Source organism: Homo sapiens, chromosome 11 (genome assembly GCF_000001405.40).
Source record: "Homo sapiens chromosome 11, GRCh38.p14 Primary Assembly".
Classification (NCBI taxonomy): domain Eukaryota; kingdom Metazoa; phylum Chordata; class Mammalia; order Primates; family Hominidae; genus Homo; species Homo sapiens.
In genome coordinates, this window is record NC_000011.10 from 40,113,541 (window position 1) to 40,129,210 (window position 15,670).

The 15,670-nt window shown below is 37.3% G+C and overlaps 1 protein-coding gene across 25 annotated transcripts in view; it reads right to left on the bottom strand.

Annotated features, from left to right (window-relative positions):
• Window positions 1-658: 658 nt before the first annotated feature.
• Window positions 659-15,670, bottom strand: part of LRRC4C (leucine rich repeat containing 4C) — a 1,345,454-nt gene continuing 1,330,442 nt past the window's right edge. For 23 of the 25 annotated variants that reach the window (NR_047674.1, NR_047673.1, XM_017018075.3 and 20 more), the window contains one exon: window positions 659-2,794. Coding sequence is in view for 23 of the 25 variants with exons in the window: in XM_017018075.3 (XP_016873564.1) it covers window positions 830-2,752 (1,923 nt within the window). In the remaining 2 variants the exon portion in view is untranslated. The remainder of the gene's footprint in view (window positions 2,795-15,670) is intronic. The other 2 variants (NM_020929.3, NM_001258419.2) reach the window with 1 other exon arrangement.

A 15,670-nucleotide genomic window follows, 5' to 3' on the forward strand; every position in this document is an offset into this window, starting at 1 on the left:
ACTAGTCAAACAGGACCCTGTAGAGATTTGATTTTGTGACTAAAGAATACTGTCATATTTTCTTTCTTAGAAAGCAGAAAATCTAATTACCTTCAAGTTTCTCACATTTGAGCCATACTACAAATGAGTTGTGTCCAGGTACAGAAAAACCGACAATATTTTATTTATAATCTTATTTTTAGCTTTTTAACTACAAATTCTGGTTCTAGAGTTGTTTAAAAGTCATGGGTTTTATAGATGCTCATATGTAAATTAATCTGTTGTTTGCTTACTTTCTTTTCTTTTCCATAGAATGGACTTCCTCATAAATACAGAACAGGTCATCACATGAAAAATATAAGATCTTGCATTTTTTTCCTTGTTCTCTCTTAAAAATCTATTTCTAATATTGCATTCCCCATTGGATTACTTCATATGGGTATGAGGGAAAAAGAAAAAAATTAAAAAAAGAGAGAGAGACAAAATAGACTGGATCTCACCACTAGAATTCACCATAAAAATCTCAAAGTGTAACAGAATTCTTACAAAATTTCCTAGACCAGTTCTTTAAGGAATTGAGATCTGCTATGAAAAATATGGCAATCAGGGAAGGGAGGAATGAGATGTGGGAAAATAGTGAATAAGTGCAGCAAAAACAGGTTCTGAGGAATACACATAATTTTGTCTGCTTTAGATCACAATAGAATTTTTAATAAATAAATTTCTTTTCTTTTTTGTTTTTTTGTAAAGACACTTTTTTGAAACAGTAGATTTAGCCCAGTCATTTGTGTCATTTTTAATAAACTGTCTTTTTTTTTGATTGTTTGTTTTTTGTAACTCTGTAAATGTTTTAGATTTGAGTCTCTTGTACATTGTCTTTAGAGTTCATTCGGATCAATAACGGTTCATGCACTGAACTGTGTATTGAATTTATTGTGTTAACTGTTGTTGTGTGGTTGAAGGGAGATTTGTATGAGTTATAGTGATTTAGGTGCTCATGCTCGATAGCAGGCATGGGCAGGTGGCTTTCCATGGGTGTGTCTCCCGTAATCTCATCATCCACATTAATAATTTCAACAGTCCTTGTTGGGGCGTGATGGTTTTGCCGATGGTGCTGCTTCCTCATCTTGTAGAAAATGACCAGCATCACTGCAGCCATGAGTGTGATGGCCACAAAACACCCAATGATGATTTTGGTAGTCTTCATGACCTCATCAATTCCTGGGATCCCACTGTTTATATCAGTCACTGGGATGGTGAAGGTTTTCTCTGTCGACCTTGTGCTCTGTGGTGTGAGAGAGGTGGTCACATTGGTGGTCTCCCAGTCGACCACTGGAGTGGGACCCACATTGTTATCTGTGGTCCGTGCCTCATCCTGAGACGGTTCCATAGTCTCTACTGTGACGGTTGAAAAGTAAGAGAAAGGAGTAGTGGTTGCTGCAGTAACATTCAGGGTGGCTGAAGCAGTAGTATTCCCAACGGAATTACTCACCATACATGTGTACATGCCTGTATCTTGCACAGTTACATTTGTGAAATTTAACGTACCATCACTGAGCACAGCTATCCGCACTTTGTACGCCCCATGTGTCATGACTGTTCCATTTGGAGTAATCCAAGATACAGATGTCAGGGATGTGGAGGCCCGACATTTCAGCTCAGCTGCCATGCCTTCAGTGACATTGAGGTCTGCAGGGGGCTCCACAATCACCGGAGCATAGCATGTGAAGTAATTCTGGTCGAGCTCTCCAATGTACCTCCCCTTTAGATTGGGAGGAGTGTTACACCGGGCACAACAAGCTGTGTTCGAGGGGGCCATGTCTTTTATCCACCAGCTGAGCCACAGTATGTCACAGTTACAGTTCCAAGGGTTGTGATGTAAATGTATCCGCTCTAGATGATGCAAGGGAGTGAAGAGGTCATGAGGCAGTAATGTTAGATTATTGTGTGCCAGGTTGATCTCCACTAGTGACTGAAGGTTGTCAAAGGCATTCCGTTCAATCACTTGAATCTGGGACTGTATCATCCACAGTTTTTGAAGGTGCATCAAACCCTGGAAAGAGCCAGGCCTGATGGCAGATAAATGATTCCCAGAAAGATCCAGCTCATCTAGTTTTATGAGCGGTGTGAGGTTAGGGATTTCCCGAAGGTTGCACATGGCAAGGTTCAAATACCTCAAGTTGGACAGACCTTCAAAGGCACCTTCTGAGATGTATGAAAGTCTTTTCAATTCCCCTAAGTCTAGTCGGCGCAAAGAAGGAATTCTGTTAAAAGCATAAGAAGGGATGCTTTCAATGGGGTTGTTTCGCAACCAGAGCTCCTTCAGTTTAGACAAGTATACAAAAGCTCCATTCGGGATGGTAGTAAGACGATTGTCAAAGAGTTCCAGAGTGTTGAGGTTCGCCAGACCATTGAAAGCCCCAATTTCAATGGTTCTGATATGGTTCCTACTCAACTGTAGGATTTCCAAGTGTCTCAAGTGCTTGAAGCTGTTCACTTTGATGATCTGGATTTGGTTCTCATGGAGGTTCAGCAGCCGTGTGTTGGTGGAGATGCCATCCGGAACCTCACGCAGGTTTTTCCGAACACAAATCACCTTGCTGAACTGGTTGCTGCAGGAGCACACAGAAGGGCAGGTCTGAGCCCGCACCAGACCAGCCACCACAAGAAGTTGAAGAGCCAGCAGCACCACAAGCAGGGGGTCAAATAGGGCCCTGTTAAACCTAGGACCTATCATTATCTGCTGTGGATGTAAGGTCATCTTGTTCAACATTCATAATTTATCTGGTGTTGGTCCTTCTGGAATTCAAACAGTCTGCAAAATACAAGCAAAAAAAACCAATTATTAGATTAGATTTATTCTAAGTGTCTTTCTGGAGTAATGTCGGTGATATAGTGTATCAGCTAAAGCCATCATGTGTGAGACAAATTAAAAACAAATCTAATATCCTTTATTAAGCTATGTGGTTCATATTTAGAAGAAAATGTACCTTTAATCCAAATTAAAGCCCACATTCCATGAGATGTATGACCACAGAGTAAGGGGTCAATGAGGTAGAGGACACTAATGTATTGTTTACCAACCAAATGTGGCCCAAATGCATGAGGACATATAATACATACCCTACCATTAGCTTCAATGTCCACAGCAGATTGAAAAGCTTAAAAAATAGGACTTTGGGGCTATATCAAACAAACTAAAAGCTCCTTTGCAAAAGTAGTAATAGCTGACATATTATATTGAAGGTTATTTTATGTGCCAAGCACCATGGGCTATACACTTTACAAACAAGCCTGTCTGGAAATGGTTACATAATTTGTGGTTCCCAGTGCAAAATAAAAATGTAGGAAGCCTTATAAAAAAAGTGTTAATAATATCAAATCAGTAACAAAAGACCACTAAACCAAGTGTGGGCCCATATAAATGTGGGTTTCTTTGCAACTGCACAGGTTGTAGGCCTATGAAGCTGGTTGTAATCCTTCGTAATCCTTACAACACTTCTCTGAAGTAGGAATTGCCATTCTTTTCATTTTCAAAATGAAGAAATATCATCATAGAAGTGACATTCAAGAAGTCACATGTTTAGTAAGTATAAATCAGGGCTCAGATGCTCATTAGACTGATCCCAGAGAATATGATCTCAGATGGTCCATAAAAATGTTGCTATGAGAATAAAGGTAAAAGCAAAATATTTTTCACAATTTCTTTAAAATACCTTCCCTTTGGGGGTGACCTCAGCTGTAAGCACTGGCAACTTAATTTATGGTACCTGTGAAGATGCACTGAAACAGTGACATGCACATGTATATATAAACTTCTAGAGATTCTCATATACCAACTCATTATAAAATAGCTGACTGCAGCCTATAAGCAGACATATCACATGTTAACTATTTTCCCATGAAGCATAATTTTTATTTACAGAAAAAAATAGTTATAACAGGACTATTATGTCTTGTGTCCCTACTCTTACTGGTTTTGAGTAGATTTTTGGGAAGGAAAATAACTCATCTCCTGCATCTCTTGTGGCCAAAGGAAGTCTTCCAAAGGAGCTTATGTTGTTTCCAAGTATACACCACACTCAGCTGGCTTATTGTGGACTGGGCACCTGTGTAATAACTTCTCCCAAGTCTCTCAACTCAATAAACAGTGTGTCTTCTATGAGTCTCTTGGAAAGAAAAAAAAAAGGGGAGGGGGGCCAGTGGGAGGGGTCACCACATTTCAATTCAAAAAGGCACTAATTTCGTACCCATTATGTGTCACCTTGAGCAAGTTACTTATCCTTTCTGTGGCTTAATTTCTCTCCCACTTGCAAAATGGGAATGAAGATATTAATATTATATATCACATAGGGTTGTTGTGAGGATAAAATGAGTTAATACAGAAAAAGGACTTAGAACAATTCCTCCCACATTGTCAGAACTCAATAAATGTTAGATATGATTATATGATAGATATGGTTATTATTTCATATTAAAAATATTTTTAATATTAAATATTAATTTCATTATAAATACTAATTTCATTATAAATAGTAGTAATCATACTAATCATATATTTAGATTTATAATGAAATATTAATTTCATTATAAATTGTTAATATGAAAATATTTTAATATGAAACAAATTACCATTAAATTTAATATTAAAATAATAATGTAATATTAAAAATATTTATAAGTATGAAATAACAAATATAATTATTACTTATATTAAAATATTAACAATAAATTAATATAAAATATTTTATTATAAAATAATCATATCTAACATTTATTGAGTTCTGACAATGTGGGAGGTATTGTTCTAAGTCCTTTTTGTTGTTTCCCTCAGCCAGATATTTTGCTAAGTAGTGGGCATATAAGGATGAGGAATAGAATCCTTACCTCGTGGGAATTTAAAAGGTGAGACAGATAAGCAAACAGATGAAGTACAATGATATATGTTCATTGCTATGACAGAAGTCCACATTGGCACAAGAGCACTAACATCAGAGCAACTTAATCTATGCCGGAAAACCAAGGAGGTTTCAAAGAAGATGGATATCTGATCTATATTTTGTAGAAGCTGCTGAGAAAAGGAAAGAAGGGCATTTTAAGCACAGAGGGATCAGCTGAACCAAGGCAAGCAGACATGAAAAATGCTAGTACATCCAGGGAACAGTAAAAAGTACCCTCTATCAAGAGAATGGAAGGCCTGAGGACGAGAATGAGAAAGGAAGCTGGAATAAGATCGGGTAAAGACTCTTAGGGGTTGGTTACGTCAAACTTAAGAGTCCCAATTTTATAGTGCAGGCAACATGTTTTGTTTTTAGAAAAGAATGCTATCATCAGCTTTGTTTTGAAAAATGATAATGAGAGGTTAATATGGGGCACAGACAAGCAATGGAAGAAACTAGTGGCAAGCAGAGCAATTAGGAAGACCTTCCTGTTGGCTCAAGTGAGTCTTGGAGAGAAGCCAGTGCCAGAGAGCGATCCAGTTTCAAGGCCAGCACTTCCTTGTCTACCACCAAAGGCTTGAGGAAGAAGGGCTGGCTCTTTTTTAGGACATGATCCTTTCACTAGTGGTGAGATCCCCAGTGAGAAATAGTTGCATTTACATAGCCTACAGAAGGTAGAGAAGAGGCTTTTTTCCCCTCAGTAATAGGAGATGCACTCTTAAGGAAAAGCAGCTGTCATTAGCAATCCTTAAACATATACCCACGTTTACAAAAACACTGTAAGGAACGTTGGTCTTAAGAAGGGGATATTTAAAGTCCTCCATTGCTTTCTGGCTTCAGAGGCTTTTGTGTCCTTCTCTATGACAGCAAAAATACTTGACTAATAGATTCTGAGTTACTATTTTTTTCCCCCAGCCTTCTAAGGCCAACTAACTTGATTCCTTCCTTGGAGCTGTTGCAGCTCTAGATTGACTTTTCACACGATCTGGTACTGTGATTATTTGTTTCTGGGTGGTTTCCTCCATCAGCCTGTGGACTCTGTGAGAACAGGGGCCATGTCTGATGGATTCCTCTTAGCCTATTGCCAACACAGTGCCTGGCATACTGTAGGCACAAAATGAAAAGATATTGAAAAATGTATGACAAAGCAAATATCTAATCACAGCCCTTTGCATATATGTAGTCACATGTTCTTATGTATTAATCATGCCTTTTTATTTTTTGTGTTTTCTGATGTTCTAACATTTGAGGCCTTGCTGATCCTAGAGAGGCTACCCTTTCAGGGCTAGCAAATTCCTAGAAATAGTCAAGGACTTGCCTATAAGCATGACTTTCATATGCAAACCAGCCAATCCAAAGGTCAAACCCCAGTCACCTTCTTTATCAGGTTCTCCCAGGACTCTTAACACTCACACCACCATTCCCCTGCCCTAATCACCCCACGTCCACTTACCACTTACCAGACAACAAGGGACAGCCCCTATGTCCCAGAGCCTGCCAAAATTGTTCAAATTACCCAATCATAAGACCATTTACCCTGCCTTCCCATAAAACCACAATAAAGGCTCTTGCCCACATTTTCTACTGGCTGCTCCCTACTGGCTGATCCTGCTGCTTCCCAGTGTGGCCTCCACATGCTGTGCCATGCCCTGCCTCCTGGGAGCTGTGAGAAAAACATCACTTTTTAAACAGCAGCCATCTCCTGATCTGTTGCTTCACTATAGCTAAATAATAATAAAACCTGCATTCTAAAACAATTACTAAACAAAAAGGCCTGGCTCATCATGTCAGTCCTGTTAACAGGTTTTATAGGACTACACCCCTGCCCCATTTATATCATGACAACAATGTGGTTGGTAGGTTTCACAACCTAAGTCAGATAGAGTTATCCTCCTTGTAAATTTAAATATGGCCTTAAATAACTCTTTTATATTTCCATTATCAACAGAAAGCTATCTAAATTTCCAGTAATCATGACCATCGAAAATTTATCATTTGAGTGATTTAGTGTAGTTTTACATATGCCCTCTCTCCCTGAAACAGACATAGGTTTCAGGGGGAGAGGGCCTATGTTATTAAGGTTATTGGGCATAAAATAACATAGCATGCAAAATCCCTGATACATAAGCAAATTAATATTTTTAGGGTTGGGGTCCCAGGGTCCTGTTCCTCCATTCTTTCTCCCATTCCCTACCCCATAGCCCTTCTCAGAATCCTAGGGTCTCAGGCAAAACAGGTAGAAATAACTGGTTGACTGGAAATAGCACAAGAGTAAAGAAGATAAGTTCTTACTCTGCCGTTTGCTACCTTTTTCTTTTTAAAATGTGAGGCAGTAAAGGCAGCCATGCTCAGTGGTCAAGAGAAAAGGGTCCAATGTGAGACTTCTTGAGATCATATCCCTGTTTGAACCTCAGTGACCTTAAAATTGAGAAAGTTACTTCACCTCTCTATACCTTACTTTCCCCATCTGTGAAAGAACACTGTTACCTAGTCAAAAGACTTTGGTTAGGACTGTCACATAATACTGTGTTATGTAAAGTTACTGACTCATAAGAAGCAATATATAATAAATATTTAATGCATATTAAAAATAAAGTGATGAGACACTCAGTTTCTTCCTATTTTTTAAGACAGGAGCAGCAATAATATCGCTTATTCAAATTTGTGGTAAGGATTTCTTGATATAATCGGGAACATACTATCAGTAAAACACACGCAACAATGATATATTGCTATTACTTAAAAGGTATATGCATCTATTCTTTCTTACTCTCCGGGCTGAGTTTTATTTTCTACTTCTTGCTTACTTCAAGGTCTTTGTGCTATTGCAATTAATGAGATTTTCTATAAATCAGTCATAAGTAATACTTTAAGAATTATAGCTGGTTCAAAGCTAATTTATAACCTACAGTGAATAATGCTTGGTACATGCACTGAATTAAATCAACTACTATCAACAAAAGGTTTTTTACTTTAATATCTAAATTATGTTACTTTATATCAAAAGCCAGTCTTCAACATCTCTTTCATGATGTTTTTATCACATCAAATGAAAATTAATTTAAAAGTATGCACTACCCATTACAATGTCATCTGACAGCATTTATTTACATATGCATTTGTGTGAGTTTTGAATTAAACTATGATACTTTTAGCCTTGTCCCAGAGGATATCTTGACTTTGTCAACAGACTTTCTTCCTTTACTACCCATGCTTTAGTGCACTGAGAGCTGCAGTGAGAGACACAGAAGCAAGTATATGTGAAAGAGTTAGCTAACGGAGATGCTTTCTTAGCACAGTATCATTGCTAAGTCATCATAGGCTTTGTCTAAACGTTAGAACTAGTTTGTAAGCAAGGAGGGAGAAAGATGAATTCAGTTAACCACAACTGTACCTCTTCTTTCCCTTCTCACATTATCCTTAACAAACCTCCCTAAACAGGAGAACCAAAACTGCTTACCCCTGGACCCTAAGATTCCAAACCACACCTTACCATCTACATCAACATGACTTTGCTGTTCCACTGTCTGTCTTAGCACCTCTTTCCTCTTCTGGGGCTCTTCCACCAAAGCAAATGGCTTCACTGATCCTTATAGGAACTTCCCCCAAAGTTCTATCCAGTCTTTCATGGAAAATTCAACAGACATCTGTGCTCAGATTTACTGACTCTTTTGACTCACCTTGCTGTTTTCTTCAATCCTGAATTGTTGTGTCATAATTCTTGTATAATCCTAAACAAGTTTCTACATTGAAAAACCTTCCTAGACTCATACTTCCAATTCTTTTTTTTAAATTAAATTAAATTTTAAGTTCCTGGATACATGTGCAGGACGTGCAGGTTTGTTACATAGGTTAAACGTGTGCCATAGTGGTTTGCTACACCTATCAACCCATCACCTACGTATTAAGCCCCGCATGCATTAGCTATTTCTTTCTGATGCTCTCCCTTCCCCCACATCCCAAACAGGCCCCAGTGTGTGTTGTTCTCCTCCCTGTGTCCACGTGTTCTCATTGTTCAGCTCCCACTTATAAGACAGAACAGGCAGTATTTGGTTTTCTGTTCCTATGTCAGTCAAACTTCGAATTCTTAATAAATTCTGACCTAATCTTCACAGCTCCACTCACAGACAGTGCCAAACTTTGTGAGGTGGTTCTTTTCCTTACCATCATAATCAATAAAGTCAGCTCTGCTTTATCAACAGGTTATATTGATGATATTTCAGGAATTACCTTTTTACAATACACAAGGTGTAATACTCATTTAAAATGTGATTGAATCTCAAACAATATCTTCACCCTCCCCCCACCCAACAAACACAAATTTGTTGCCTACCCAAACATCCTACTCCCTTACTCTTTTCTAAGAAAATTTTATATAAAACATTTACTCCCATGCAAAAACAAAACAAAACAAATATATATATATAGATAGATATAGGTCTATATACTTTTTTATATCTATATAAAAAGTGTATGTGTATATATATATTTATACACACACACACACACACACACACACACACACACATATATACTATTTTATCTGTTTTGGGAGAGACTGACCCCAGTACTTAAGGGTGAATAGAGTTTCATTTAAGCTAGAAGTAGGCAAACTTTTTCTGTAAAGGGCCAGATAGTAATTATTTCAGGCTTTATGAGCCATATGATCTCTTGTTGCAACTACTCAGTTATGCCACTGTAGCAGCCATAGACAAAAGGTATATAAATGGGCATGGCTGTGCTCCAATAATACTATTTATAGTATAAAATGATATTTTTGGAAATTGTAGCTAGAGCAATCAGACATGACAAATAAAGGACATCTTGGAAAAGAAGAGGTCAAATTATCTTTGTTTGCAGATGATATGATCTTATATTTGGAAAACCCTAAGGACTCTACCAAAAAACTGTTAGAACTGATAAATTCAGTAAAGTTGCAGAATACAAAATCAACATACAAAAATAAGTAGCATTTCTAAATACCAATCGCAAACAATCTGAAAAAAGAAATCAAGAAATTAATCCCATTTACTATAGCTATAAATACAATAAAATACTTAGGAATTAAATAACTGAAAGATCTCTACAGTGAAAACTATAGAACATTAATGAAAGAAGAAATTGGATCAGACACGCAAAAAATGGAAAGATATTCCATGCTCATGGATTAGAAGAAACAATAGGATTAAAATGTCCATATTACACTAAGCAATCTACAGATTCAATGCAATCCCTGTCAAAATACCAAAGACATTCTTCACAGAAATAGAAAAAAAAATCTTAAAATGTATATGAGACCACAAAAGACCCAGAATAGCCAAAGCTATCCTGAACAAAAAGAACAAAACTGGAGGAATCTCATTACCTAACTTCAAATTATACTACAGAGCTATAGTAACCAAAACAGCATGGTACTGGCATAAAAGCAGACACATACACCAATGGAACATAATAGAGAATCCAGAAACAAATCCATACATCTACAGTGAACTCATTTTTGACAAAGGTGCCAAGAACATACACTGGAGAAAGGACAGTCTCTTTAATAAATGGTGCTGAGAAAACTGTATGTCTATATGCAGAAGAAGAAAACTAGACCTCTATCTCTGGTCGTGTAAAAAAATCAAAATGGATTAAAGACTTAAATAGACATTGTAATGAGATATCATCTCACTCAAGTTAAAAGGGCTTTTATCCAAAAACAGTAACAAATGCTGGTGAGGATGTGGGAAAAAGGGAACTCTCAAAATGTAAATTAGTATAACCACTATGGAATACACTTTGGAAGTTCTTCAAAAAACTAAAAATATAACTATAATATAATCCAGCAGTTCCACTGCTAGGCATATATTCCCTAAAAAAGGAAATCAATATATGGAAGAAATATCTGCACTCCCATGTTTATTGCAGCACTATTCATAATATCAAAGATTTGGAAGCAACCTAAGTGTCCATCAACAGATAAATGAATTTTTAAAATGTGGTACATATATACAATGAAGTTCTATTCAGCTGTAAAAAAGAATGAGAAACTATCACTTGCAACAACATGGATGGAGCTGGAGGTCATTCTGTTAAGTGAAACAAGCCAAGCACAGAAAGACAAATTTCATATGTTCTCACTTATCTGTGAGAGCTAAAAAGTAAAACAATTGACTAATGGAGATAGAGAGCAGAATGATGGTTATCAGAGACTGGGAAGCATAGTTGGATGTGGGGAGGCAAAGGAGGGATGGTTAGTGGGTATAAAAATATGGTTAGACACAATTAATATGATCTATTTGATAGCACAATAGGATGACTACAGTCAACAATAATTTACTGTACATTTTAAAATAACTAAAATAGTAAAATTGTTGTAACACAAAGGATAAATGCTTGAGGTCATGGGTGCCCCATTTATCCTAATGTGATTATTACGCATTGTATGCCTGTATCAAAGTATCTTATGTATCCCATAAATATATACACCTACTATGTACCCACAATAATTAAACTTTTTAAAAAAAGAATATATATATATATAAATAAATTCTATTTCCTAACCATTTAAAAATTCACAAACATTCTTAGCTCACAGGGCACACACAAAAAAGTAGCAGGTTGTCTTGCAGATTATAGTTAGCTAAGCTCATGTCTAAGCAAAGATTGATAGTACCATTCCTGCTTTCAGAGACTAATGAGGTCTGAACATGTGACACAATTTGGCTAATAAGATGTGAGGGGAAGTCAGCTGAGGGATTTCAGGAATTTTTTTCTCCCACTAATAAGAAGAAAAACATGGGGAAGAAATAATTCTTTGTTCTGTTTCTAGATATCGTTGAGGGTAAAAGATGCCTAGAGCTGCTGCAGCCATCTTGTGGCCAAGAGGGGAGGCAGCCTGAGGACAAAGCTGATAAGAAAGAAAAAATGAAAAAATGGAAAGAACTTATATCTTTGATATTTGTGATAAGCAGCTGAATTAATGAACCCTGTAACTGTTTTTCCTCTGGACTTCTTATTATGTAAAATAATATATTACAGTATAAACAGTTATTATTTTTCTGGTTACATGCAGCCAAACCTATCCTCACACGTTTATGTTCATTTCTTCTCTCTCTCTCTCTCTCCTTATTTCCTCAGCCAATAGCAAAGAAGAGGGGAACATTTTATTATTTTATTTTCCTATACCTTTATAAATATGAGACCTTTCAAAGGAAACAAGTTAAGGTAAAGCAACATGATATCCTTATAAGAAAGGTCTGAAGCTCATCCCACATCATGCTAAGAAGGATTTCTACTGCAAAATCATTTATCTGGACATCTCTGGGTTTTAAAGAATGCTAGAATACACAGGAGAAAAAACAAAGCAACGAATTAAATAACACCATTACCAAAGGTAACACACTTCTTCAAGTTTATTTCATAAATATTTCCTAATATAGATCATTTATTTTCCCATTTTTAACCCAATCTTGCAAATCTTGAGCTTTCTCCACCCCTTATGCAGGAGTATGTAGTTCTGTAGATTTTCAGGGAAAAGAATTTTTTTTGTAAATATGCCCAGGGCTGAATCAGTAGGTAAATGTAATGGAAATGCTACAACATTTAAATGGCTATAACCCAGTGAATCAACCTGTCAAGTTAACAAGCAGCTGTTTGGCTAAACACACTGACTCTGCAATGTTTCTAGAAAATGCTAAAATTTCAGAAGTTGAGATTTACGAAAAAAAAAAAAACCCACCTGACTCTGCATTTTCATTCTTCTAGAAGACTTATTTGGCTTACAGTGGAAGAATGTATAATATATTCTTAGGGTTTATGTTTCTCTGTAGTCAGGACGTCTCACCTAATGATATTATAATGTTGTCACTAGTGTTGTGACTATATGTTACTAGTGATAACATTACCATATCATTAGGTGAGATGTTCTGACTACAGAGAACTATGTACTAGAAAAGTAAAACAACAACAACAATGTGGCTGCCACCAACATGGGGTCATGTGCTGGAGTGTATAATAAGGATTGTAAGAGAGGTAAATTACCTATGTCTTCAAGAACTTTCCAATCTTGGAGGTATAAAACAAATTATAGACATATATCAAAAATTTAAAAATGTACATATATGCATATAGGTACTAGTGTAAATCAATACATTCAATATTTACATGCCATAAAGAATTACCAGAGATTAATGTAGGCATAGCTAATCAGAGAATGCTTTAAGAAGAGAATTTGGGGACGGGCGTGGTGGCTCACATCTGTAATCCCAGCACTTTGGGAGGTCAGGGTGGGCAAATCACCTGAGGTGGGGAGTTCAAGACCAGCCTGACCAACATGGAGGAACCCCATCTCTACTAAAAATACAAAATTAACCAGGTGTGTTGATGCATCCCTGTAATCCCAGCTACTCGGGAGGCTGAGGCAGGAGAATAGCTTGAACCCAGGAGGTGGAGGTTGCAGTGAGCTGAGATGGCACCATTGCACTCCAGCCTGGGTGACAGAGCGAAACTTTGTCTCAAAAAAAAAAAATAAATAAAAAGAAGAAGAGAATTTGGGGCCAGGTGTAGTGGCTCACGCCTATAATCCCAGCACTTTGGAAGCCAAGGTGGGCAGATCATGAGGTTAAGAGATCGAGACCATCCTGGTGAACATGGTGAAACCCCGTCTCTACTAAAAATACAAAAAGTAGCTGGGCATGGTGGTGGGCACCTGTAATCCCAGCTACTCCGGAGGCTGAGGCAGGAAAATCGCTTGAACCGGGAGGCGGAGGTTACAGTCAGCCAAGATTGTGCCACTGCACTCAAGCTGGGCAACAGAACTAGACTCCATCTCAAAAAAAGCAAAAAAAAAAATATAGAGATTTGGAATTTTATGCAGGTCTTTAAAGGAATATAGATTGGCATGGAGGCGGGGCAGTGTTGGAGGAGGTAGGAGCTTACTTATGAAAGCAGAGGAGTAGGAGCACAAAATAATAAGAAAACTGTCTTAATGGAAGTAAAGGACTTACACTATAGAAGTTAGTTAAACTAGCCCAATTGAGGGGCACTGCAAGCCTAACAAAAAAGTTTGAATGTATTTTAATAAAAAAAAACTTAGAAACTTGAGGCTTTTAAGCAGGAGAGGGAATGATGAGAATATTGTTTTGGAAAGTTTCTGCTCTTGTCCCTAAAGGAAATTGCAGAGAAGACTTTGATGAGAAAGTAAATGACTTTAATAATCGACGTCCCTAGTATTGCTTTAGAATGAATGGAACCGATCTCCAATCTGATTATCTGACTACTGAGATGTGTATAGTTCAAATTAATACGCCCCAGTTAAAATCCTGTTGAGCATGAAATACCAATGAAGAGAAAATTAGCTTCTGCATATGGTCACGTTAGAAAATATCAGGGTACACAAAAAGAGCAGTGTATCATTTTGGAATCTCTGATCTGCAAGTCAGGAAAAGAGGCATCTTTGATATCTAGAGTGGCTCATGTCCATGCTGCAGATTGCACACAAAGGACTACTAAACACACATTTAGTTTTAGTCCTCTTTCTAATTTGAAACAATGCTGAAGCACAAAAAGAATGCCCAATCTACAATAGTAAGACCCAGCAAAACAAAAACCAGCTTTAGAGTAAAATGCCCCGGAGGGTTGGTTTGGTATTCCTGACTGTTTGATCTTTGGTAAATTGGCCTTCTCCGAGCTGCACCTTCCTAAGTAGGAATGATGATAACAATACAATAAATAGACATTGTGAGGATTACACGAATTAAATGGCATAGTGTACACTGAAAGCGAATCCCCAAACTTGCCCCTGAACCTCCATAAAAGCCGCTACCATGTGACCAGTTGCACAAGGCAAAATTGTTAAACTCTTCTTTGACTTTTCTTTTTCTGTATTCACCTGCAGCCCAGCACTATTCTGATTCAACCTTAAAACATAATGTGGGTCTGTCTACTTTTCCTCATTGTCTCTTTCTAGATTATATGTTATCTTCATTTCCAACTTGAACCTCTTAAACACACTGCCATCAATTTCCCTACTTTGGTTAACTGCATTATGACAATTCATTCTTTTTAGAGTATTTAGATTGAATTTTTAAATTAAAAATATGTTCATGCTATTCTTTTAGTTGAAACACCCCTATTAGCTCCATACCTTTTTAGAACAAAATGCAAACTGCTTTGGTCTCCAAGACTCAGCCTGACCTCTGTCTGCTTCTCCCACTTCTCAACTTTTTCTTACTCCACCTTCTCGGTTCCACCCCATTGGCCTTTCGTGGTTTCTCAAAAGATTCAGCCTTGTTCCCGCCTCAGGACCTTTGTACTAGGATTCCCTCTGCCTGCAATGTGTATCCTTTGATTTTTGCGTGGTTGGTTTTCCTTTTAATTCTGGGCTCACTTTAAATTTTACCTTCTCAGAAAGTTCTTTTTGATTACCTGGCAAAAAGTATCCCTTTTGTCATATTTAATAAGTTACCTATATTCAATTTTCCTCATAGCACATATCACTATTTGTTATTTTTTCTCATACGCTCAGGTGCATATTTTCTTACTGCCTGTCTCACCTCAGTGGAAGGTTAATTTCCATGGAGTAGAGACTTGTCTTCCTTATTCAGCAGTATTCACCTAGAACAGTACTCATGGAGTGTTTGTTAAATGCATGAATGAATGAATGAGTGCCCCACGCAGACAGAAGCAGGTTGAAAACTCATTAAGTCAAGGCTGTAAACGCACTAAGGACCCATAGGATGTCATACTCACTTATTGATCCCTAACAC